Source organism: Homo sapiens, chromosome 12, assembly GCF_000001405.40.
Source record: "Homo sapiens chromosome 12, GRCh38.p14 Primary Assembly".
In the NCBI taxonomy this organism is placed as follows: domain Eukaryota; kingdom Metazoa; phylum Chordata; class Mammalia; order Primates; family Hominidae; genus Homo; species Homo sapiens.
The window spans coordinates 46525304-46551429 of record NC_000012.12 but is presented as its reverse complement, the minus strand read 5'-3'; the positions used below and the strand labels follow the sequence as shown (position 1 = coordinate 46551429).

The following is a 26126-nucleotide window of genomic DNA, read 5'->3' as shown; positions in this document are numbered from 1 at the left end:
CAGAAGGTGTGTTGATGACTAAACCCTTGTCATCTCAAATCATGCTGCTTCCTAGGTTTCAATCATTCCAGAAGATTTCAAGAAAGGAAGAAAAAGCAACAAAGCAAAAGAGACACCAATTTAGTCTGAAGAATGCCTTTTGACTTTTTTAACAGTAGTGAGATTCTTTTTGATCCCAAAGTGCTGGGATTACAGGCGTGAGCCACCACGCCCAGCCTGACACACTCCTTTTGATGAAGGCGAAGCTGTTTGTCCAAGTGTTTGTTTGTTTGTTTGGTTGGTTGGTTGGTTTCTTTTTAGAGTTAAGGTACTGAGGTTAGAGCAAAAGACTCAGCTTTACTCAGCTGAAAAGGGGATAGGGATGATGTAGGAATTAAAAGGATACCAAAGCTACTTCTATTTTGTCAACGTATAACTAGGTTTAAAGGGCTTAGAGCACAGAAACCTAGTGACTAGGTTTCAATTTGAAGAGAAAAATTATTTAGAATGAAATGCAGTCAGCCACTGCATTGAACGATTGACAGTCCACTGAGGGAGACCTCCATCTTTTAACAGAAGACCTAGGAAGTGATACAAAATTTAAAAAAAGTTCCCATCTTTAGAGGAGCTTATCAATTGTCTGGGAACTGCCCATGAAATCGTCACAAAAATTTTCAAAGCAGTAAACCATAAAAAACAAGTGCATATGGCTTAATTAAACTTGGTAACGAATCACAGCCAGTATTTGTCAAATGTCAGGTACTGTATGATGTGCTTTACATACATTTCATCCCCGTTTCACGGGTGAACAAATTGATGCTCCAAGGGGCTTATGTACCTTGCCCAAGGTTACACATATGCTGGCTACAAATTCTACTCTCTCCCTCTCTCTACTATCACTCACTACCCATAAAAAATGTACTATCATTACTAAAAATGAAGGTAGTATAGTGGTGTGGAAAGTTACAAAATATTGTTAAATGACAAAAATCATACAAGTTGTATACATCACAACCATGAAAAGTTTATATGCAGGTAGGAGAGACTTGGAAGGAAACAGAGAAGTTCAAGAAGTTGTGTTAGGGTGGTAGGATTATGGAGGACACTTAGAAAGTTCTTTTATCTTGTTGCAAAATTAGGTAAAGTGTATTTAAATTAGATAGAAAGGTGTTGAAATCCATCAGGGAAGACTTCCTGGATAAAGGCACTTTTCATCACCGTTTCAGAAGGAAGGAGGGTTTCATGCTGGCCTTGAGGAGAAAGAAGTCATCAGAGCAGTGACAAGACAGTTAATTCAGCATTTCAAAGTATGCACAATAGTCACCTCCTTATTCTCAGTTTCAGTTACCCAGGATCAACTGCAGTGTGAAAATAGTAAATGGAAAATGTATAAACAATTCATAAGTTTTAAATTGCACGCCATTCTGAGTAGTGTGATGAAATCTTGTGTCATCCCATTCCACCCCTCCCAGGAAATGAATCATCCCTTTGTCCAGTACGCTGGTGCTGTACGGTACGTATGTACAGGAAAAAGCATAGCATATATAGGGTTCGGTACTAACTGCAGTTTCGGGCATCCACTGGGGGCCTTGGAACATATCTTCATGGTACCAGAGAAATTCATGTTAAACAAGTCTGCCATAACACAAAGATAGTTGTCAGGAAGGGTAAGCTGAGATGTCTGAATTTTACAAGTTAGAAAATGAGGAGTAACATGATGAAAGGATGTGAGAAAGTTTATTCTAACTGCTGTGTGGAGGATGGTTGAGAGGAAAGAGAGAACAGAACAGGGAGACCACAAGAAGACAGTGAAATGACAATGAGAAAGACATTTGGATGTGGTGTGAGCTGAGCATTGGAGCACAGCTATCTCAACTACCCCACAAATAGTCTCAGATAAATGCACCCACTGCTCAAAATTCCCACCCCCCACCTCCTTTTTTTTTTCTTCTTCTTTTTTTTTTTTCGAGATAGAGCCTCACACTGTCACCCGGGCTGGAGTGCAATGGTGCGATCTCGGCTCACCGCAACCTCTGCCTCCTGGGTTCAAGCGATTCTCCTGCCTCAGCCTCCCAAGTAACTGGGATTACAGGCACACACCACAACACCCGGCTAATTTTGTGTATTTTTAGTAGAGATGGGTTTTCACTATGTTGGCCAGACTGGTCTCGAACTCCTGACCTCGTGATCTGCCCAGCTTGGGCTCCCTAAGTGCTGGGATTACAGGCGTGAGCCACCGTACCCGGCCAAAATTCCCCTTCTTTAAAGTGAGGGTAGGGAACCTACAACCTTGGTAATCCCATGAGACTGTTACCACATTACACCAAGGTTGTCATAGGCATAAAGCTCTACAGGTACACAAATAATATGAAGAGAGAATACTCAAAGTATTTAAGTGTTGCCTTCCCTCTGCTCTTGAGGAACCCAGGAAGATTTTGAATGAGTCTTATATGAGTGGGTATGCATGCCACACCTATTAAACAGACAAACAATATAGTTAAAGTGAAATGCTCTGACTTGCATTTCATCAGTCATCAGCAGATAGAGCAGAGCTATAAGTTTGTCTACCTAGGATGGTGGGCAAATTGTTAAGAGGTAAATATATAAAAAACAGCTGCTATTTTAGAACCACACAACATAAGGGCTTTGCACATTCCCTTTTGTGTGACTTCAGACCATGGAATAAGCACATACTTTAGGAAGACGTGCTCTTGTTCTAATTATGGAAATGACTGAACTGATCAAATTACTGGCAGCATATCCTGCGTTACACCAAAGAAACAATTCCAACAAAGGGCTTTGATTTGATGATTGAAAATTGCCAGCCATTTCTGTGGGACTTTGAAGAAACGGAAAGCTCAACTGATGAGAAAAGCATAAACAAGGGCAGTGGAAGGTCGTTTAGCCTTTATTACCACTGTGGTGGTGGTTGTTTTAGCTTTAGTTACCACTGCCTAATTCAAAGAAAAATAACTATTAAGAAAAGGAGTTATATTAAGTCTCTGTAAACTTTGAAGAGAAATCCTGATTTTTTTTCTGATGATTCTTCTTATAGTTGGATGTTCAATTTGTATCATATTTACTAGATTTTAAAACAAGTACTTTTCCCAATTAAAAAGATTGAGAAAGAGGGACAAGGGAAAAAAAATGGCCTAATGCTGATTCTGATTGGCTCATTTCCTGTGTCCCATTTCCTGCAAATAACAACAAAAGATTCACTCTTTGCCTAGATTGGAGAATGAGAGGCAACTTGCCTGTGGGTGTTTGGTTGAGGGAGGTGGTTAGTAAAGCAACAACAGAAGGCAACCCCTCAATCATTCTTGAAGGAGAAATGCTTGGTATTTTTTCAAGGAAATAGAATCAGACTTCTGGGAGTGCCTAGGGGCATGAAATAGAGAATTCAGTAGCCCAATAAATATAGTACACATTCTTGTCATTTCATGTTCTAGACAAGGTAATTAAAATATGCATAAGATTTTCTGCTCCCCAGTTATTTTTACTTCCAGGTAGATTGAACAGTCAGCTGATTCACCTTCTTGGGCAATGCCCATTCATTCTTGACACTCTCCTATTCCCCATCCTGTCCATAATCCCTCCTCACACACAAGCACATGCCAATAGGTGAGATAGCAAAAGTAATAATATGTCCATTTAGCACTAGTATGCCTTTAGAGATGTTGAATTTTCTGTGGCAGATCTACAAACTATCCAGTTTTTCCCAAAGGGGTAGCTTCTGTCAAGTGCAGAAGGACACCAAGAAGTCACATCTCTGAATATCTTTTTCTTTTTGCCCTTTCTGGCTGGCCTATATGACAAAGAATGATGAAATATTCATAAATTACATTTCTATTTGCCCGTACTTTACTGAGAAACCTGTACTGACTTGCATAAAAATGGCATACTGGTTAACCCTCATCAGTTAGTTTGTATATTCCTGCCTTCTCAGGCCAGCCTTCTTCATCTCTCTGCTGACAGAAATTTCATTCCTTCCCTGCCCTACTCTCAAAATGTGTTCTCAAGATAGAACCCAAAAGACTGATTCTTCTTCAGGGAAGAAATAATTAATGAAGCTTTAAGTGGGTTCTTCTTTAGTATAAAGTGCTTCATTTTGAAAGGGGAGGAATGAATTTATAATTGTAGAATTTCAGATTTAAAAAAAAAATTAAAAAGCTGAATTTGGTGGAAAGGTCCTCTTGGTGCCTCTGAAATCATGCCCTCCTTACCCAAGAGGTCACATTCCTTCTGGAGTTGACGCAGGTGCCAAATACCCCAAGAACTGACAGCAGTTCATCACTTGTATTTCATTTGCATCTGCTCCACTGATACTTACTTACTGGTTGTGTGGGCGTGTGTTTATTTGCTGTGAGTTCAGCAGTTAGAGGAAGCTTATGTGGTTAATGTGCTTAGCCATGAGATGAGATGTAAGCTGCCTGTCCACCTCTATGGAGCCCTGAGCTTCCTTGCCTGTGGCTTCAGACACTGGGTCCCTTTCTCTGTTGGCATTCCCACTAAAGCTAGAAACTCTGACCTGAAGAACCCTGCTCCTTTATATCTCCTTTATCAGCAACTACTCTGGAGGGGGCAGGAGAGAAACACCATGAGGTCAACAGGATGCTTGTAAAGGGTACCTTCTAGGCTCCCTCTTCCACCTCCCACCCTGCCAATTCCTCCAGATAAGAAGGAAGCACTGCTGCTCCCATGCATTTTCATGCAAGCAAAACCCAAAATAGTTGGATAGTAGAACACATAATACTATGTGATCACCATCTCCTCCTTTCCCTCTCCAAACCTTCTCTTCCTGTGGTGCTCAACACAGGAAGAGCCTGTGTGTGTCACAGTAATTGTTGACATGGGCTTGGGAGCCTACCTGGGTACAAATCTCAACACCACCACTTACTCCATCTGAGACACTAGGCAGACTTCCTAATTGCTCTGAGCTTCACCTTCTTCATCTATAAAATGGAGAAAATAACTATTTTGCAGATTGATATGAGGATGAAATAAAATAATGCATGCAAAGCACTTAGCAGTACGCCAGGTACATAATGAGCACTCAATAAATGGTACCTATTATTAATGGAGCCACCATATATCTAGTTACTCAAAATTGTCACCTACCTTAGACATCATTCCTCCTTTTTTTCCCCATAGTCAATCTGATCTTAAGTCCAGTGAATTCTACCACCTAAACACAGCTGAACTCATTTCCTCCTCTCTCTCACTGCCTTAATAGCTCAGGCCCATATATTTCCCTCCCTGAACTACCATTATAACCTTTAAACTCTACTGGTATATCCAACCTCTTCCTATTCCACTATTCTGCACATTTCCCAAATGTGAATTTTCAAAAATAGAAATGTGCTCCTGACACTCAGTTAAGATCTCTCGATGTGGTTCCAAGATGGCTGAATAGGAACAGCTCCAGTCTACAGCTCCCAGCATGAGCGACGCAGAAGACGGGTGATTTCTGCATTTCCAACTGAAGTACCAGGTTCATCTCACTGGGCCTTGTCAGACAGTGGGTGCAGCCCACCGAGTGTGAGCCGAAGCACAGCAAGGCATCACCTCACCTGGGAAGCGCAAGGGGTCAGGGACTTCCCTGTCCCAGCCAAAGGAAGCTGTGACAGACGGCACCTGGAAAATTGGGTCACTCCCACCCTAGTACTGCGCTTTTCCAATGGTCTTAGCAAATGACACACCAGGAGATTATATCCCGCGCATGGCTTGGAGGGTCCCATGCCCACAGAGCCTTGCTCATTGCTAGGACAGCAGTCTGAGATCAAACTGCAAAGCAGCAGTGAGGCTGGGGGAGGAGCGCCCACCATTGCTGAGGCTTGAGTAGGTAAACAAAGCAGCCGGGAAGCTCAAACTGGGTGGAGCCCACCACAGCTCAAGGAGGCCTGCCTGACTCTGTAGACTCCACCTCTGGGGACAGGGCATAGCCAAACAAAAGGCAGCAGAAACCTCTGCAAACTGAAATAATCCTGTCTATCAGCTTTGAGGAGAGTAGTGTTGCTCCCAGCATGGAGTTTGAGATCTGAGAACCGACAGACTGCCTCCTCAACTGGGTCCCTGAACCCTGAGTAACCTAACTTGGAGGCACTCCCAAGTAGGGGCAGACTGACACCTCATACGGCCAGGTACCCCTCTGAGACAAAGTTTCCAAAGGAACTATCATGCAGCAACATTTGCTGTTCAGCAATATTCACTGTTCTGCAGGCTCCGCTGCTGATACCCAGGCAAACAGGGTCTGGAAAGGACCTCCAGCAAACTCCAACAGACCTGCAGCTGAGGGTCCTGAATGTTAGAAGGAAAACTAACAAACAGAAAGGACATTCACACCAAAACCCCATCTGTACATCACCATCATCAAAGACCAAAGGTAGATAAAACCACAAAGATGGGGAAAAAACAGCAGAAAAGCTGAAAATTCTAAAAATCAGAGCACCTCTCCCCCTCCAAAGGAACGCAGCTCTACGCCAGCAGTGGAACAAAGCTGGATGGAGAATGACGAGTTGAGAGAAGGCTTCAGACGATCAAACTTCTCCGAGCTAAAAGAGGAAGTTCGAACCCAACACAAAGAAGCTAAAAACCTTTAAAAAAGATTAGACGAATGGCTAACTAGAAAAACCAGTGTAAAGAACTCCTTAAATTACCTGATGGAGCTGAAAACCATGGCACGAAAACCACATGATGAATGCACGAGCTTCAGTAGCCGATTTGATCAAGTGGAAGAAAGGATATCAGTGACTGAAGATCAAATGAATGAAATGAAGTGAGAAGAGAAGTTTAGAGGAAAAAGAATCAAAAGAAATGAACAAAGCCTCCAAGAAATATGACACTACGTGAAAAGACCAAATCTACATCTGACTGGTGTACCTGAAAGTGACAGGGAGAATGGAACCAAGTTGGAAAACACTCTGCAGGATGTTATCCAGGAAAACTTCCCCAACCTCACAAGGCAGGCCAACATTCAAATTCAGGAAATACAGAGAATGCCACAGAGATACTCCTCGAGAAGAGCAACTCCAAGACACATAATTGTCAGATTCACCAAAGTTGAAATGAAGGAAAAAATGTTAAGGGAAGCCAGAGAGAAAGGTCGGGTTACCCTCAAAGGGAAGCCCATCAGACTAACAGCTGATCTCTCGGCAGAAACTCTACAGGCCAGAAGAGAGTGGGGGCCAATAATCAACATGCTTAAAGAAAAGAATTTTCAACCCAGAATTTCATATCCAGCCAAACTAAGCTTCATAAGTGAAGGGGAAATAAAATCCTTTACAGACAAGCAAATGCTGAGAGATTTTTGTCACCACCAGGCCTACCCTAGAAGAGCTCCTGAAGGAAGCACTAAACATGGAAAGGAACAACCGGTACCAGCCACTGCAAAAACATGCCAAATTGTAAAGACCATCGATGCTAGGAAGAAACAGCATCAATTAACGAGGAAAATAACCAGCTAACATCATAATGACAGGATCAAATTCACACATGACAATACTAACCTTAAATGTAAATGGGCTAAATGCTCCTATTAAAAGACACAGACTGGCAAATTGGATAAAGAGTCAAGACCCATCAGTGTGCTTTATTCAGGAGACTCATCTCATGTGCAGAGACACACATAGGCTCAAAATAAAGAGATGGAGAAAGATCCACCAAGTAAATGGAAAACAAAAAAAAAGCAAGGGTTGCAATCCTAGTCTCTGATAAAACAAACTTTAAACCAACAAAGATCAAAAGAGACAAAGAAGGCCTTTACATAATGGTAAAGGGATCAATTCAACAAGAAAAGCTAACTATCCTAAATATATATGCACTCAATACAGGAGCATCCGGATTCATAAAGCAAGTCCTTAGAGACCTACAAAGAGACTTAGACTCCCAAACAATAATAATGGGAGACTTTAACACCCTACTGTCAACATTAGACAGATCAACGAGACAAAGTTAAAAAGGATATACAGGGAACTCAGCTCTGCACCAAGTGGACCTAATAGACATCTACAGAACTCTCCACCCCAAATCAACAGAATCTATTGATTTTTCTCAGCACCACATCGCACTTATTCCAAAACTGACCACATAGTTGGAAGTAAAGCACTCCTCAGCAAATGTAAAAGATCAGAAATTATAACAAACTGTCTCTCAGACCACAGGGCAATCAAACTAGAACTCAGGATTAAGAAACTCACTCAAAACTGCTCAAATACATGGAAACTGAACGACCTGCTCCTGAATGACTACTGGGTACATAATGAAATGAAGGCAGAAATAAAGATGTTCTTGGAAACCAATGATGACAAAAACACAACATACCAGAATCTCTGGGACACATTTAAAGTAGTGTGTAGAGGGAAATTTATAGCACCAAATGCCCACAAGAGAAAGCAGGAAACAGCTACAATTGACACCCTAGCATCACAATTAAAAGAACTAGAGAAGCAAGAGCAAACATATTCAAAAGCTAGCAGAAGGCAAGAAATAACTAAGATCAGAGCACAACAAAAGGAGATAGAGACACAAAATACCCTTCAAAAATCAATGAATTCAGGAGCTGGTTTTTTTTAAAAGATCAACAAAATTGATAGACCGCTAGCAAGAATAATAAAGAAGAAAAGAGAGAAGCATCAAATAGATGCAATAAAAAATGATAAAGGGGATATCACCACCAATCCCACAGAAATACAAACTACCATCAGGGAATACTATAAACACCTCTACGCAAATAAACTAGAAAATCTAGAAGAAATGGATGAATTCCTGGACACATACACCCTCCCAACACTAAACCAGGAAGAAGTTGAATCCCTGAATAGACCAATAACAGGCTCTGAAATTGAGGCAATAATTAATATCCTAACAACCAAACAAAGTCCAGGACCAGATGGATTCACAGCGGACTTCTACCAGAGATACAAGGAGGAGCTGGTACCATTCCTTCTGAAACTATTCCAATCAACAGAAAAACAGAGAATCCTCCCTAACTCATTTTATGAGGCCAGCATCATCCTGATACGAAAGCCTGGCAGAGGCACAACAAAAAAAGGAGAATTTTAGACCAATATTCCTGATGAACATCAATGCAAAAATCCTCAATAAAATACTGGCAAACAGAATCCAGCAGCACTTCGAAAAGCGTATCCACCATGATCAAGTGGGCTTCATGCCCGGGATGCAAGCCTGGTTCAACATACACAAATCAATAAACATAATCCAGCATATAAACAGAACCAAAAACAAAAACCACATGATTATCTCAATAGATGCAGAAAAGGCCTTTGACAAAATTCGACAGCCCTTCATGCTAAAAACTCTCAATAAATGAGGTATTGATGAGATGTATCTCAAAATAATAAGAGCTATTTATGGCAAACCTACAGCCAATATCATACTGAATGGGCAAAAACTGGAAGCATTCCCTTTGAAAACTGGCACAAGACAGGGATGCCCTCTCTCACCACTCCTATTCAACATAGTGTTGGATGTTCTGGCCAGGGCAATCAGAGAGCAGAAAGAAATAAAGGGTATTCAGTTAGGAAATGAGGAAGTCAACTTGTCCCTGTTTGCAGATGACATGATTGTATATTTAGAAAACCCCATTGTCTCAGCCCAAAATCTCCTTAAGCTGATAAGCAACTTCAGCAAAGTCTCAGGATACAAAATCAATGTGCAAAAATCACAAGCATTCTTATACACCAATAACAGACAAACAGAGAGCCAAATCATGAGTGAATTCCCATTCACAATTGCTTCAAAGAGAATAAAATACCTAGGAATCCAACTTACAACGGATGTGAAGGACCTCTTCAAGGACAACTACAAACCACTGCTCAACAAAATCAAAGAGGACACAAACAAATGGAAGAAGATTCCATGTTCATGGATAGGAAGAATCAATATCATGAAAATGGCCATACTGCCCAACGTAATTTATAGATTCAACGCCATCTCCATCAAGCTACCAATGACTTTCTTCACAGAATTGGAAAAAACTACTTTAAAGTTCATACGGAATCAAAAAAGAGCCCACACTGCCAAGACAATCCTAAGCCAAAAGAACAAAGCTGGAGGCGTCATGCTACCTGACTTCAAACTATACTACAAGGCTACAGTAACCAAAACAGCATGGTACTGGTATCAAAACAGAGATATAGACCAATGGAACAGAATAGAGCCCTCAGAAATAATACCACACATCTACAACCATCTGATCTTTGACAAACCTGATAAAAACAAGAAATGTGGAAAGGATTCCCTATTTAATAAATGGTGCTGGGAAAACTGGCTAGCCATATGTAGAAAGCTGAAACTGGATCCCTTCCTTACATCTTATACAAAAATTAATTCAAGATGGATTAAAGACTTAAATGTTAGACCTAAAACCATAAAAACCCTAGAAGAAAACCTAGGCAATACCATTCAGGACATAGGCACGGGCAAGGACTTCATGTCTAAAACAACAAAAGCAATGGCAACAAAAGCCAAAATTGACAAATGGGATCTAATTCAACTAAAGAGCTTCTGCACAGCAAAAGAAACTACCATCAGAGTGAGCAGACAACCTACAGAATGGGAGAAAATTTTTGCAATCTACTCATCTGACAAAGGGCTCATATCCAGAATCTACAAAGAACTCAAACAAATTTACAAGAAAGAAAAAAACAACCCCATCAAAAAGTGAGTGAAGGATATGAACAGACACTTCTCAAAAGAAGACATTTATGCAGCCAACAGACACATGAAAAAATGCTCATCATCACTGGCCATCAGAGAAATGCAAATCAAAACCACAATGAGATACCATCTCACACCAGTTAGAATGGTGACCATTAAAAAGTCAGGAAACAGCAGATGCTGGAGAGGATGTGGAGAAATAGGAACACTTTTACACTTTTACACTGTTGGTGGGACTGTAAACTAGTTCAACCATTGTGGAAGACAGTGTGGCGATTCCTCAAGGATCTAGAACTAGAAATACCATTTGACCCAGCCATCCCATTACTGGGTATATAACCAAAGGATTATAAAGCATGCTGCTATAAAGGCACATGCACACGTATGTTTACTGTGGCACTATTCACAATAGCAAAGACTTGGAACCAACCCAAATGTCCAACAATGATAGACTGGATTAAGAAAATGTGGCACATATACACCATGGAATACTATGCAGCCATAAAAAAGGATGAGTTCATGTCCTTTGTAGGGACATGGATGAAGCTGGAAACCATCATTCTCAGCAAACTATCACAAGGACAAAAAACCAAACACCGCATGTTCTCACTGATAGGTGGGAATTGAACAATGCGAACACCTGGACACAGGACGGGGAACATCACACGCCAGGGCCTGTCGTGGGGTCAGGGGAGGCAGGAGGGATAGCATTAGGAGATATACCTAATTTAAAGGACGAGTTAATGGGTGCAGCACACCAACATGGCACATGTATACATATGTAACAAACCTGCACGTTGTGCACATGTACACTAGAACTTAGAGTATAATTTTTAAAAAAAATGATCCCTCAGCGATTCCACACCTTATTTCTGCAATCCCAATTCCTCAGCACAGCTTTCAAGGTCCTGCACACCATTTCCATTCACTATGCACTTTTTTCTCCCAATGCCATCTGAGCTTCTTAAAAGAGCCCTCATGTCCACATGCCTTTGAACATGCAAATTTCCTTCCTTTCTTTACATTACTTACTCTCACTCATTCTTTAAGACTTGGCTCCCAGAGTTCTTTTCCAAGGAATCTTCTTTACTCCTCATTCATGTTCTACATTGTTTCATTTTTTACATACTTGTCCTTCTCCTTCTGTTTAGAACTGAGTTTCTTGAAGTGAGAAACTGTACCTTGCTGCATTGCAAGTGGTTAATATAAATGTTGATTCAATTTGTTCAACAAACATTTACTGAGCACTGATTCTGTGCAGTGCACTGAGCTGGGAGTTAGATGCACATGGGCTATCAATGCACGGTCCCCTGCTGTTTTGTGATATTGGTATCATGGGAAAGTGGGAGCAGAGTCTGACTACTTTAGATAGAAATACTTGTGTATAAATGTCATCTAAATTTATTCTCACAACTATCCTGTAACATAGATATTATCTCAGTTTTGCCCATGAGAAACGCAAAGCTCAGGGAGATTTAATGGCTTGCCCATATCATCCAGCTGGTGATTGGTATTAGAGGAGGCAGCATTGCATGTTGGTTAAGAGCTAGCTTTTGGAGTAAGACCAACTTGGGTTCAAATCCCAGCCTTTCCACATATGACCCATGTCATGTTACCAAAATTACTTCACATCTTTGAGCTCAGTTTCCCTTCTTAGAAAGAGGAGGAATATAATACCTACCATCTTGATAGCTGGTTTGAAATCCAAATTTAAAAATGAATACAAGCTTTTAGTCCAGGGACTGGTAAGGTCCCGGGGCAGGGAGTAGGTCATCTCAGAGCCCACATTCTTAATCACTCTGTGGTCCTTATATTCTGAGGAAGCATTGGGATCGACTGAAGAAAAGTAGATTCTCTCTGAAATTGCACAGGGAGCCTAAGGCTCAGACTGAGAATGCCCTTGTTTCTAGCAGTCAAGGACACCAAGAAAATTGCCTGTGTGTCAACTACATTGTAGATATTCCCTAGAGAATTCAGATCTTGCCAGCCATCAAATAATGAGACTTTGAGAAATGTGAAAGTGCTTTGAAAAATACAAATAGGCAGTATTTTTTTTATTGCTAACAGTCTAAGATGGGACTCTGTATGACTCCAGTGAACTTGTCAGCTTGTCTAAAAAATCATTTCCTTCTTTCAACATTTCTGTGGCTAGTATAATCATGATTTTGTATTCTCTTGAATGCATGCTATATCTAGTATGTTGTTAATTCTTTAGAGTACTTTGTTCCCGTTTTGTAAAAATAAGGTAATCCAATATAGATGTGATAAAATGGAATAAAATTTTCACAGTGTATTGTAATCTTGAGGCTAAGGACAATTATAATAATAGTGGGCAATTATTAAATAGTAGACAGTAGCAATCATACTAGGTGCTAGGTACTGGGGTTTAAAAAATACATTAATTTATTTAATGGAAGAAACCCAGTAAGAAATCTGAGATTTAAAGGGGCTTAAACTCCTTGCCTCAGGTCACATGCTGTGAGCACAGAAGCAGGAATCAAACCTGTTAGAAGCCAACTCCTCATCAGCCATCCTGTACTGAGCAGCTACTATATAGAAGGCCCTGGACTATAAGAAACCAATGTAAACAACACACTGCCCCATCCTCCAGGGGCTTATCATGTAACTCCAACATAAACCCCATCTGGCACAAGAGAGGGGATAAGTAAATACATGGGTAGATGTAATGGAGTAGTCAGTCACTAGATTTAGTCTTTCCTTGCTGAGTCCACTGCATGGTGGCACAGTCCTGCACTCAGATGATAAAAAGTCATGTTCTGGAAGTTCTTAACTTCTAGACCTATAACATATTGAGGGCTATAAATCAAATATTATTCAAAGCAGAGAAAATTGCTGCCTGAAGTGAAATATAAATGAAGAAAGAAAGAAAATCACAGCTGGAGAATCAGGAAAGACCTCGTGAAAAACATGCCATCTGAGATTGCATAGACCTCGCTAGCCATGTCTTAGTTCCCAGCATCACTCTGCTATTCTCATTAGAGTTTCCATTCTATTAATAATTTTGACCTAAGTCCCAGCACCTGTTGGAACTTTATCTCACAATCAAAGCAAGAAGATCTGGCTTGCCTTTCTGTCTTCATTTTTGCAAGGTTGTTCTCTCTGAAACATTACTGCCTCTTACCCTTGACACTGTGTGACTGCCACCAGGGTCCACAGGTCCATAGCTCATTGAGTCTGAGCCACAAAGACGTTTCATGTGAGGGCAAAAGGGACAGCAAGAGCTCCTGGATTCAGCAGGATTTTTCTTCCTTCTGAAAACAATGGGGGCCTTAGATCAGTGTGTCTTTTGGGTTCGAACATAAAACCATTTTGTGAAACTGCATCTAAAACACAGGCTTCATATTGAGACCAAGGTTTTAGTAAAGTTAAAGCCTATCATTTGGTGCCTTTGAAAGCGACCTTTAAAAATACCAACATTATGATTCAGTAATAGGATAGCAATTACTTTTGACTGGAGTTTAACAAAATTTTACCTTATTCTTAGTTCTTGTGTTGATGGGCTGTTCAAATGAGTTAATAATATCCTGAAAATGTTCAATAGGAATATACAAATAATAGCACTTATGCATAATCCTATCTAAATTATCCAAGACTTAGATCATTGCATTCCCTGATGCTAATAGGTCTTCCTGGCTTTGAGTTATAGTTTAAAAAACAAACATCTGAAATGCAGACACAAGAAAATATCTGCTTGAGGTTCTTGCAAGCTATAGAGACACAGCTTCTACACAGTCCTCTTTGTAGGGTACTCTCAAGCACTAGGACATGCCAGAGACACGAGATGGTCAAAACTGTGCACCATTGCCCCTGTGATCACTCTCTATGCACTCCCTCCCACCAATCCATAGATTTCACGGTGACCAAGGCCATCTCTCAATAATACAAATGTGGTCAGGCCCCTTCCTTGGTTAGAACCTCCCTATTGCTTACAGAATCAAGTCCTAAATCCCTAAAGAAGAGGGTCTTCCACAGTGTTTCGGCCTGAGTTTCAGCCTCAACCCCCATGCAAACTCTTTGTTACGCCCGCAACCTTTGCTCAGGGATATGGTTTGGCTCTGTGTCTCCACTCAAATCTCATGTTCAATTGTAATCCCCAGTGTTGGAGGTGGGGCCTAGTGGGAGGTGATTGGATCACGGGGGCGGTTTCTCATGGTTTAACACCATCCCCCCTTGGTGCTGTCATCACAATAGGGAGTTCCAGTGAGATCTGGTTGTTTAAAAGCATGTAGCACCCCCTCCATGCTCATGGTCCTGCTCCTGCCATGTAAGACGCCTCACTTCCCCTTTGCCTTCTGCTATGATTGTAAGTTTCTCAACACCTCCTCAGAAGCTGAGCAGATGCTGCCTTGCTTCCTGTACAGCCTGCAGAATCATAAGCCAATTAAACCTCTTTTCTTTATAAATTACCCAGTCTCAGGTATTTCTTTATAGCATTGTGAGAACAGACTAATACAACCGGGCTACCTCTCAGTCAGTGCCCTTTGCCCAGGCTGTCTCTCAGCCTACAGTGGCTTCTCATCTGGGTAAACATTTCTATTTATGTTTTAAGAAAAAAATTCAGACATCACCATCTCGAGATGGCTCCCTGTGACCCTGCTACACACACATTCTCCTCTGGGATCCTCCCCTTCTCGCTGCCTGCTCCAACTGTGACACTTCTTACATACTGCCGTTAGTACCTGTTGACAGGGCTGCCTCTCTCCCACAGTCAGAACTTCCAGAAGCCCAATTATTTCTTCCCTGGCCCTTAACAAAGTGCTTCACACACAGTAGATTCTCAATAAATATTTGTCGAATAAAGAAATGAATGAAATAGGTAAAATTTGTCTGTAGCCTTCCGCTCATCATCAGCTGCCTTTTCTCAGCCTTCCCTCCCTCCTCCCACCAATGTGCCGACCACTGTCAATTCCCTGTCTCCAGCCCTAGCTGTCCAGTTTTGTCCTAATCATCAACATGAAATGCTGCTCCCAGGAAAGTTTTTGATAAACTCACAAGGCTGACTCTCACACAGGGTTTTTACAATTTACTAGGTGACAAAATCATAAGCCAAAATAATAGATCTCTGATTGTCGGATTTCTTTAGCCTTGTAAGAGGCCCTGTCACAGTCCCTCTGCTCACACTTTGGCATTTTGTGTAGGGCTGCCTTTTCATGATTGTTAGAAGTGCCAGAATCTCTATAAACCCTTGGCTGTATGATCTGGGGCCCTAGTAAATCCGTCTGCTTCAAACTGAACGGTCCAGCCAATCTCCAAGAACTGCCAAAGTATTGAAGCTGCTTGAAAAAAATATATCTGGTTTTCTAATAAGGCTTCACATTTGAAAGATAAGGAAGCCTTTACCTACTAAATGATTTAAACTCAGCAGATGTAATTTAAACACTGATTGATTTTATCTTTCTTATTTGGTTAACTATTTAACATGCAGTTGTTAATATTTCCTAATGGGGTAAGAAAGAAATCATTAAAACCCTAATAGGAACTGAGCAAAGAATTCTTTCCAGTAGTCTTTCAGAAGATAACCAGTCAAACGGTGACAGTAAAAAAAAGATGATATCAGAAAAGTAACAGAGTTCAATAAATATTCAGCTCAGTTTCCTACGAATTCTGCAAGCTCCCTCTGAGTGTTTTGTAAGAGACCTTTTTAGGAAGATAAAGGATAGATGGTGAGTTCTATCGTGCCTACACATCAGAAGAAGGAGTGACCCACTTGGGAGTGACACACACTGCCCAATTTTCTTACGTGTAGGATGAAATAACTTGTGTTTAAAACATATAAACAGAATTCTGTCTGCCCAGCTACCCTCATGACAGAATGGCCCCGTGAATCCCAATACAAGCCACCTCTTCCCCTACCCAATTGAAACAGAGTATGATTCAAGAAAACAATGCTATATAAATTTTAATAGCTATCAGACATTTGGGCCACCAGAAAAGCCCACTTAAGCCATCTGATTATAATATATGTTATACTAGATTATGTATTGGTTTGGAATGGAAAATGGTTCTGAGTTCCAACTCAGCCTCTTGAGTTTGTCTACACACCCCTTTGAGTGAGGATAAGATTCCTTTGCTTCCTGACTTCCCCATCTCCCCAGAGTGGAACAAAGGTCTGGCAGCTGAGACATATTTCCTGAGATATTTAGTGCTGGAAGAAAGATAGGGAGCCTTCTAGTCCAATTCTCTGATGCAGTGTAGTAAAAATTAAAAGAGCTCATGCATGTATTGCCTGTAGCACAATAACTAGCATACACTAAGCCCTCAATAAAAGTTGCTATTAATAGTACCAATAGTAATATCTCAGAGCTGTGTAGTGGAACTGCAACCTGTCTGTCTAGACGCTCAAACTTTGTAATAAACCCAGTGGCCTCCCACTATGAAAGGACTACCTAGAGGGTGAGGCTTTGAAAAACTGCTTTAGAAGAGCCAATTATTTCCAAGCAATTTATTTTATTGTAAATCCCACCATTTTTATGCTCAGATAGTCCAGTTTAACAGTATCAACAGATAAAGTCTGATTTATTTTAGATTCCCAAATTATTTTCCCATTTCCTTTAATAAAAGGAGTCCAGACATACAAAGCAAATGTGCTAAAGAAAATCCCTAAATGATTACTTTCATTAAAATTGTGTTTACTTGAAAATTAGACAATAAACCTTCATATCTCAGGGCTCCAGACGTACAATTTGACAATAACCAGCACCTACAGATATATTTCAGCAAATACACTCCCACAAGATGCTTCAGGCTTTACAAAATGCCATGGCTGCTGGGAAACAACTTGGAACCATTGACCTTCTAAGCCTTATCCAAGAACAAGGGAAAACAAAATGAGGAAATTACTCCAACCCACAACACAAGAGCAGTAAAATATTTTCCTGCTTCCTGCCTAAAGCAATGGAGGACCTATCCAACATAGTTACTTTTACTTTACTCAGTCACTAAATAAATTGAATGGTTCGAGTCTACCAAACCAGAAAAGTCAAGTGTGGCTTCATAATCTCTCTGCCTAAAGGACATCATTATTGCCTGAAATGAATAAAACACTGACATTTAAATTTAAGTGGCAATAATAATAACAATAATAATGATAATGGCCAGGATTACAGGGAGGGATTTTGTTGGGGGAGAAAGGGTTTCACAGTCAAAATAAGTTTCAAAAACTCTTATTCAAACAGTTAAATCGATAAAATTGGCCACGTTTCTTTACCACAGTATACTCCAAGGCTTCAGTTCCCTAATGTGAATTATTGCTCCAGGAAAATAAAATACTACGTAACAATTTGCAAACATTTCTTTGCAGAGAATCAGATGGAGCTGATATTTCCTATAGCCCATTTTGGAATACTCTTAGATTATAGTCAGGTATTGTAAAGCACCTTCTAATATCAAAGTAACCATACGTATGGAGTACATTCTTACATTAGATCTTTAATATCTACCAGTTATATAATCTTAAAATATATATTGCTAACCATTGTCTATAGAAATTGAATTCACATTAATAGTGAAAAGAAAATTCACCATTTCTTATCTGAAAGATTATAGCTTGTTTACCACATACATTTAATTATTATTAAAGGTTTTCAATATTTGGCATGAAGAAAATAAACATTTTTTCCTTCTTCAGGTCACTGCAATTAAAGTTGACCTTGCTGAGCTAATGTAAGCATCAGTATAGATTTGTAAATGTATTTTTAAGTTATTTTCTCATGAAAGTGCCTATCTACTTATTATAGAAAATTTAGCAAATGCAGAAAAGATTTTTTAAACAAAATAGTAACTGATCACTAATAATTTCACAGCCCAGAAATAAACCTTGGTATGCTTCCTTTCACAGTTTTTTCTTTTAACTTTTTCACAAACTGAGCATTTTCCCTTGACATTAAAAACTATATAGATTTGAAAGCATATTATCCATGGCTAAACATGGTGGATGAAATCATGTGTTCATCTTCTTTGTCTCCTATTAAAAAGCGAAAAGTTACAAAGAGAATTTAAGAGTAGGCAATGTCATTTTTTTTTTTCAAGATGAAAAGTAGATGAAAGCATGGTGATTGCCTTAGTAGAACAGAAAAAGCTGAAACTCAGTCTCTACAGCTGGGGATTTTATCTAGATACAAAAAATTCACTCCAGAATCTTCTCCAAAGAGTTCCACAGAAAGTGGAGATGAGATATGGAGCAGAAAAGGACTGGCTTCAAATCTGCATAGGATTAGATGCCCAAGCCCCACTGACTATTCCTTCTCACCCCCTAAAACATAGATTGTTCATTCTTTGGATAAAATAAACCAGAGAACCTCCTAGCCATGGAATTGCCCAGCCCAGCAAAGGTCAAGAGAGAGGCTAACGATGACCCATGAGACTAAAACTGGGAGGTTGAGTGAAAGTCTGTAAATAAAAAGATGAGACCCCACCACACACACCCCGCCCCCATCAGAACACTGGCAACTAAGCTGATACCTGCAAGGTAACAAATTGGAGAATCCTTCTATGAATAAACAAAACTAAATAAACCCACATACTTAAAAAGCCATTTTTACTAATATTTGTGGCCCAACTAACAGAAAAGCTAACTCTCTGTCCTATTGTTATGGGATCTTTGGGGCAGCACTTTTCTGGCTGGAAACCTCTGTGCAGCTGCTACAGCAGAGTGGGCAGCTCCAAGTACCAGCATGGGCACCGGCTCTCTGTCAGGCTACAGCTGGACCAGACAAACCACAAGCAGCTTCCACGGCTGGCACCAGGGAACATGGTGGCACCTGGAAGCTTGGAGACACCAGGGTCCCAAGGAAGGGGTCACAGCACTGGCTCGGGAGCCCCCAGGACTGGGCACCCCAAAGGGCCACAGCTCTTCTCTCCTTCTCTTCACCTGCAACATGCCAAGCAAGGGGCATGTCTCAGCCCTGTTTGTGTTATAGCTCTTTTAACCTCACCACTCCTGAGTTCTTGTCCTGCAACCAGGAAGAATGAGTTACACAGAGAAGTAGAAGGTGAGCAAGAGAAAGAGGAGCTTTATTGAGCAACAGAACAGCTCAGAGGGGAACCACAGTGGGTAGCTCCTTTCCACAGCCAGGGTCTCCCAACGAGTGTTCATCTCCTAGAAGAGAGGGTAGCTCCTCTCTGCAGATGGTCATCCTGTCGTCTCTCTGTCATCTGCTCTGCTCTACTCTGGCTGAGCCCAGGGCTTTTATGGGCCTCAGAGGAGTGCCTGCCAATTAGTCCATGGGTGGCCATGGGAGGTCCCAGAAAAGGCACCACAAGTCCCCACTCCAGTCTGTGGGACTGGCAGCCCAGTCCCCAGCCTTCAGGCCCTCCCAGGCCTGAAGGTGGGGCCTCACTGGGGACCTGCCCTGTTCCATCCAGGAGGCTGTCTGCTTCCTGCCACTGTCCATGGCACCCAGGCTGCTCACACCAATGGGCACCTGCAAGCCAGCTCCCAGCCACCTTCAGTGACCCCCTCGATTTCCCTGCCCTCAGGCTTGTCAGCGGTCAAAGTCCAGAGGGGGCCAAGACAGCAGGGGGCTGTTGTGTCAGCACTTCCCTGAGCACACGCCCACCTAGCTAGACTGTTACAGTGCCCAGGCTCAGCCCCAACCACTCTCCAAGATCTGAGAGGGCGCTGGGAGTGGGGAGAGGCCAGGCAGTGGGAGCAGGCACCTCAGGGCCTGCAAGGGCAAGGTGGGGGCCTTCCTGGGCCCCCAACAGTGCAAAAAGGCCCAGTCCACAGCCAGGACTTGGGAGGCTGCAACAACCCAGAGGTGGGGGGCTGCAGGGGATGGGGGGAAGGCTCCTGCCTGATCCCAGCCCCCTCCAGCTCAGTGGGCATGCAGCCACAGCCACAGCCCCTAACAGCCTGGGGTGGGCACTCCAGGTGCTCACTGTGCCCTGGCCAGCATTGGGGGCAGGGGCCACATTGCCATGAGCTCCCTGATTCCCGCAGCATTCAGGGGTGGCCCAGGGCTTAGCGGATTGCAGCCCTGGCCCAGCCATTGGGAGTGTCAGGCTCGGCAGTCACCCAGTGGGGGGTGGACCCTGGGGATACAGACCTGGGTGGCCTTGAACAGAGCCTCCTCCCGAGATACAGGAACCCGGCGCCCTCCACGGGGTGGGCACAGTGGCTGCACCATTGGCCAGGTCCCCAAAGCAGGTACCACTCCCACTTCCCACCCTGGGCCTCCAAAGCATGACCCCAGTTCCACACACGAGGGCCGACTCTCACACTCCATGTGCAAGTATGGCACCGCCCCGGGCCCACCTCCACCTCAGGGCCCCCGTCTGCCCAACCACACTTCTCCCCTGCCACGCTGCTCCCCCACAAGCAGGCAACCCAGCTGAGCCCCATAGCAGTAGCCTCCAGTGCTGTGGGCTGCAGGACGGCTGTCCACCACCTCCCCGTGCCCTCCCTGCAGCCACTGGTGTGATAGCAGTGGCCTCTCCAGGCAGCCTGCAGCTGCCATCACTATCATCTACAATAATACTCTGAACTTAGTTCCCAGCCAGCTTTATGGTGCCTCACTCTTAACTATACATGGAGAGACAAAAACTCCAGACATAGAAGGAAAGCTTGAAATGTAAAAAAGAAATAGACATTAAAAACTAGAACTTAACAGAATCCCAGATATTTCAGGAAAAAGGATGAAACATAAAAATAAAACCATGATAAACATCAACATATATACATAAGAAAAGATACTGCAACCACGAAATGAAAAACAGAATCTGTGTAAGGGGACACAGGGAGTGAGGGAAAAAAAACTCAGAGATGTTTTTTATTTATTATGAAAATTTTACAATACTACAGGAAACAAATCAATAGAAGTTTGGAATGTAATGAGCTACTTCCCAGAGCGTGAAACAAAAAGACAAAAAAATGGGAAATGGAAAGAAAAGGAAATAAAATTAGAAGGTTAAGCTAAGAAGTTCGATACCTGACTAGTAGGATTGCTAGAAAAAGAAATGAGAAAACAGGACAAAGAATGTGTATGAGAATAATAATTATATTTTTAAATATATATTTTTTTATTAAATAGACTATTTTCCAGAACAGCTTTAGGTTCACAGTAAAATTGAGCAGAGAATACAGAGATTTCCCATATATTCCCTCCTCCCCTATACACACACATACGCACTCCCTTACTATCAACGTTCCCCCAGCAGAGTGGTACATTTGTTACAATCAATGAACCTACATTGTCACCCAAGGTCCATAGTTTATATTAGGGTTTATCCTTGGTCCTATACATTCTATGGGTTTTGAAAAATGTATGATATGAATTCATTATGATAGCAACATACAGAGTAGTTTCACTGCCCTAAAAATCCTCTCTTTTCTGTCTATTCATCCCATGCTCCCCACTAACCCCTTGAAACCACTGATCGTATTACTATCTCCATAGTTTTGCCTTTTACAGAATGCCATATAGTTAGAATCATACAGTATGTAGCCTTTTCAGATTGGCTTCTTTCATTTGGTAATATGCATCTAAGATTCCTCCATGTCTTTTCATGGTTTGATAGCTCATTTCATCTTAGCACTCAACAATATTGCATTGTCTAGATGTACCACATTTTATTTACCTATTCACCGACTAAAAGATATCTTGGTTGCTTCCAAGTGTTGGCAATTATGAATGAACCTTCTACAAACATCTCTATGCAGAGTTTTGTGTGGACATAAATTTTCAACTACTTTGGGCAAATACCAAGGACAGTGACTGCCAGATTGTATAGTAAAAGTATGTTTTGTTTACTAAGAAACTGCCAAACTGCCCTCCAAAGTGGCTGCACCATTTTGTGTTCCCACCAGCAATGAATGAGAGTTCCTGTTGCTCCACATCCTTACCAGCATTTGGTGTTGTCAGTGTTCTGGATTTCGAACATTTAAATAAGCGTGTAGTGGTATCTGTTGTTTTAACTTGCATTTCTCTGATGACATATGATGTGCTGCCTCACTTCACATGCATATTTGCCATCTGTATATCTTCTTTGATGAGGTGTCTGTTAAGTTCTTTGGCCCATTTTTTAGCTGAGGTGTTTGTTTTTTATTGCTGAGTTTAAAATATATCTGTATATTTTGAATAACAGTACTTTATCAAAGATGTATTTTGCAAATATTTTCTCCCAGTCTGTGACTTGTCTTCTCATTTTCTTAGCAGTGCAGAAGTTTTTAATTTTACTAAAATCCAGCTTACCAATTCCTTCATTTATAGATCATGCCATTGGTGGTGTATATATAAAAAAAAAAATTGTTGCCAAACCCAAGGTCATGTAGATTGCCTCCTGTGTTAATCTTCTAGGAGTTTTAGAGTTTTGCATTTTACTTTTAGGTCTGTGATCTCTTTTGAGTTTATTTTGTGAAGGGTGTAAGAACTGTGTCTAGATTCATTTTTTTTTTTTTTTGCATATTGATGTTCATGGTTCCAGCATCATTTGTTGAAAAGACTATCTTTGCTCTACTGTATTGCCTTTGCTCTTGTCAAAGATTGGTTGACTGTATTATGTGGGTCTATTTCTGGGCTCTCTATATGAACATGGAATCTCTCTCCACTTATTTAGTTCTTCTGTGATTTCTTTCACCAGAGTTTTAGTTTTCTTCATAGAGCTTTTGTTCATATTTTGTTAGATTTATATCTAAGTATTTCATTTCCTTGCATGCGAATGTAAATAGTATTGTGTTTTTATTTTAAATTCCATCTGTTTATTGCTAGTATATACGAAAGCAATTGACTTTTGAATATTAAGCTTGCATCATGCAACCTTACTATCATCACTCAGTTCCAGGATTTTTTTTATTTTTATTTTTATTTTTTGCTGATTCTTTCAGATTTCCTTCACAGACAATCATATCATCTGTGAGCAATCTTTTATTTATTCCTGATCAATCCATATATCTTTTATTTCATTTTCTTCTTTTATTGCATTAGCCAGGACTTCAAATATGATATTGAGAAAAGCAGTGGTGAGAAGGAATATCCGTGCCTTGTTCTTGATCTCAGTGGGAAAGCTTAAGTTTCTCAGCATGAAGTATGGCATTAGCTGTAGGGATTTTGCAGGTATTTTTTATCAAGTTGAGGAAGTTCTCCTTCTCTTCCTAGTTTTATGAGAGTTTTTATCATGAATGGCTGTTGGATTTTGTCAAATGCTTTTTATGAATCTATTGACATAATTATGCAATTTTTCTTCCTTAGTGTGTTGATGTGGCAGTATTCCATACAATTCCTGGAGAAAAGTTGTATTCATACATTGCATTCTGTAGCAGTACTACCTGCTGGGTTGTCTACCTGTCTCCTGGTTAACTGCTTTTGCTAAGAAGCCCAGCTCTCTCTGTACCCAGGAACACCCAAAGGCATTTTGTTATCTAACCCATTATCAGAACAAAACTTCTACTATTATAGATTCAGTTGGTAAATAATACTCTCCCACACAAGACTTTAGACAAAAGGGCTAGCACTCTCTTTTATAGCTTCCCTGGTGTCCTAAGCCACAGAGCAGCCCCTGATTTTGCCCTCATTCAATTTTTAAGTGCTTCTAAACTTACTAGGCCAGAGTAGAAAAAGGACGGTAAGTAGTTTCCATTCCTCTACCAAAACCAGTCAATTAGTAGAGCTTACTAGAGCACTACGTTGAAAGAATTCTGAGACCTGGTCTAGGCTCTGTGGAAAAGAGGGCATATCATGAACCTGCAAGAGATTATCTTTTTATATGCAGCAATTCTCAATTTGATTTAACTATGATACCCTCTTTTCAAAGAACTTATCTTGGGAGTAGTTTTTACAGAATACAGTTTAGAAAATGATGTGCCTCACATTGTACACTGCTCCATGTCTCAATAAGCTCATCCCTGGAGTCACAAAGGAACATGGCACATTGTGTAGCAATTCATACAGTTGGAGGCGTCATGATCATATATAGAGACTGTCTTGCCATTAAAAATAAACCAACGTGTTTTAAGATTTTGCTGACACTCTTTGTAGTAAGACATCACTCTTTATGATGAAAACTTCAGTCCCTGAGCTCTCCTCACTTATTGTATTCCCAATGGAGAGACTTATATTCTGGGGAAACCTTCATAAAGATTGACAAATAGAGAAATTTAGGACTTTTCTACTTAATTAGCAGAACACAAAGATGTCTCTAGAAATTTTTCTCAACACAATATGATTTTTCCAATGAAAATCTGAAGTGCCCAAAAGAGAAGAGTTCACTTTTCAGAAGTTCACACATGGATTAGTCCCTGTCATGTAACATTAGATTTGCATGTTTCGGTAGGTCAGCTGTTAGCATTGCTACTCTGGAGGGGACAGAGCAGGGGGTAGGGCCAGCGGGGTGGGGAGGTGGCCTCTCAGCTGTTGCATTTGGCATTGCACCTGTGCGCCTACTCAGAGCTTTTTGAAATGTGGCCCCATCCAGAATACTTCTAGTTACTTGAATGCTGGCAAAGATAAATACATTGCTTTTTAGTTTTGAAAAAAAAAAATGCCCAAAGGCATTTTTCTTCTTGCTGATTTTTCTTCTTGGACTCTAAAGAACACTCCTTTTCAACTTTTCTGGAATGTAGACAATCCTGGGAAAAGTATATGGATTTATTTTCCACCTTTTCTTGGCACCCTCCAACTGAGCTTTATTCTTTTCCCTAGCAAAGGGGTCCTAAACCCACATGCCCAGACAACCCAGACGACCTGAACTTTTCAGTGAATCTATGCTATCCTCAAATCCCGGACCATGGCTGCCCTTCCTGTGCCTCTCTCTTCCCATTCTGGCTTAGTGTCTCGTCTTCTTTCTTTCTCTCATCCAGACCTCTAAGTGAAACTTCTTTCATTTTTTAATTGTTTGTATCCTCTTTATTATTTTTAGCATCTCAATCTGGAGAATCAGCGAATGGTAGCAGAACTTCCATGGACATTGGTGTCAGATAGACTGAGTCTCAGACTCCAATTTAGCCACTGTCTGGATTTGGGCAAGTTATTTAATCACTTTAAGTTCCTTCATCTGTACAACAGATATTTTAATAGCTAATTTGCAGGGCTTGTGGAGAAATAAATGTGTGCAAAGGCCTAATGGTAGGTGCTAAATAAATGGTACCTCTTATTGTTGTTACTTTAATTATCATTGCTTCAATCTGCTGGCGACTGCTTTCTGTGGACTTCCCCTCCTCGCCATGTTGCTGTCCATCACCCTCTCCCTTCTCTGTAAGGGGCACAAAAGCACTGATCCAAAACCTGAATTGCTGGTTCTCTTGTCTAAGACCATTTGGTTACTGCCCAGGGAATAAGAGAAGCTCCCTTCCCATCCACTTGGCACAATGGGTCACATTATTTGCTAAAAGGCAACTAAATGAGACCAGGAGACTTTGTCATAATCAAGCTACCACCTCCCCCAACCAAAGTGAAAATGTGAAGACTTTTGGGCAAGACCAGGAGCGAGGACTTCAGGTGTTTATCAATTACTTC

At 41.1% G+C, this 26126-nt stretch overlaps 1 long non-coding RNA gene across 5 annotated transcripts in view, besides 1 other annotated feature; it reads right to left on the bottom strand.

Moving 5' to 3' along the window:
• Positions 1 to 26126, bottom strand: part of SLC38A4-AS1 (SLC38A4 antisense RNA 1) — a 268904-nt gene that overhangs the window by 101150 nt on the left and 141628 nt on the right. The gene's annotated exons all lie outside the window — the stretch shown is intronic.
• Positions 1316 to 1465: an enhancer, noted in NCBI's record as "active region_6253". NCBI's record gives its function as "activates an Ori minimal core promoter by ATAC-STARR-seq in GM12878 lymphoblastoid cells {active_cell/tissue: GM12878}" and the evidence as "EXISTENCE:reporter gene assay evidence [ECO:0000049][PMID:35858748]".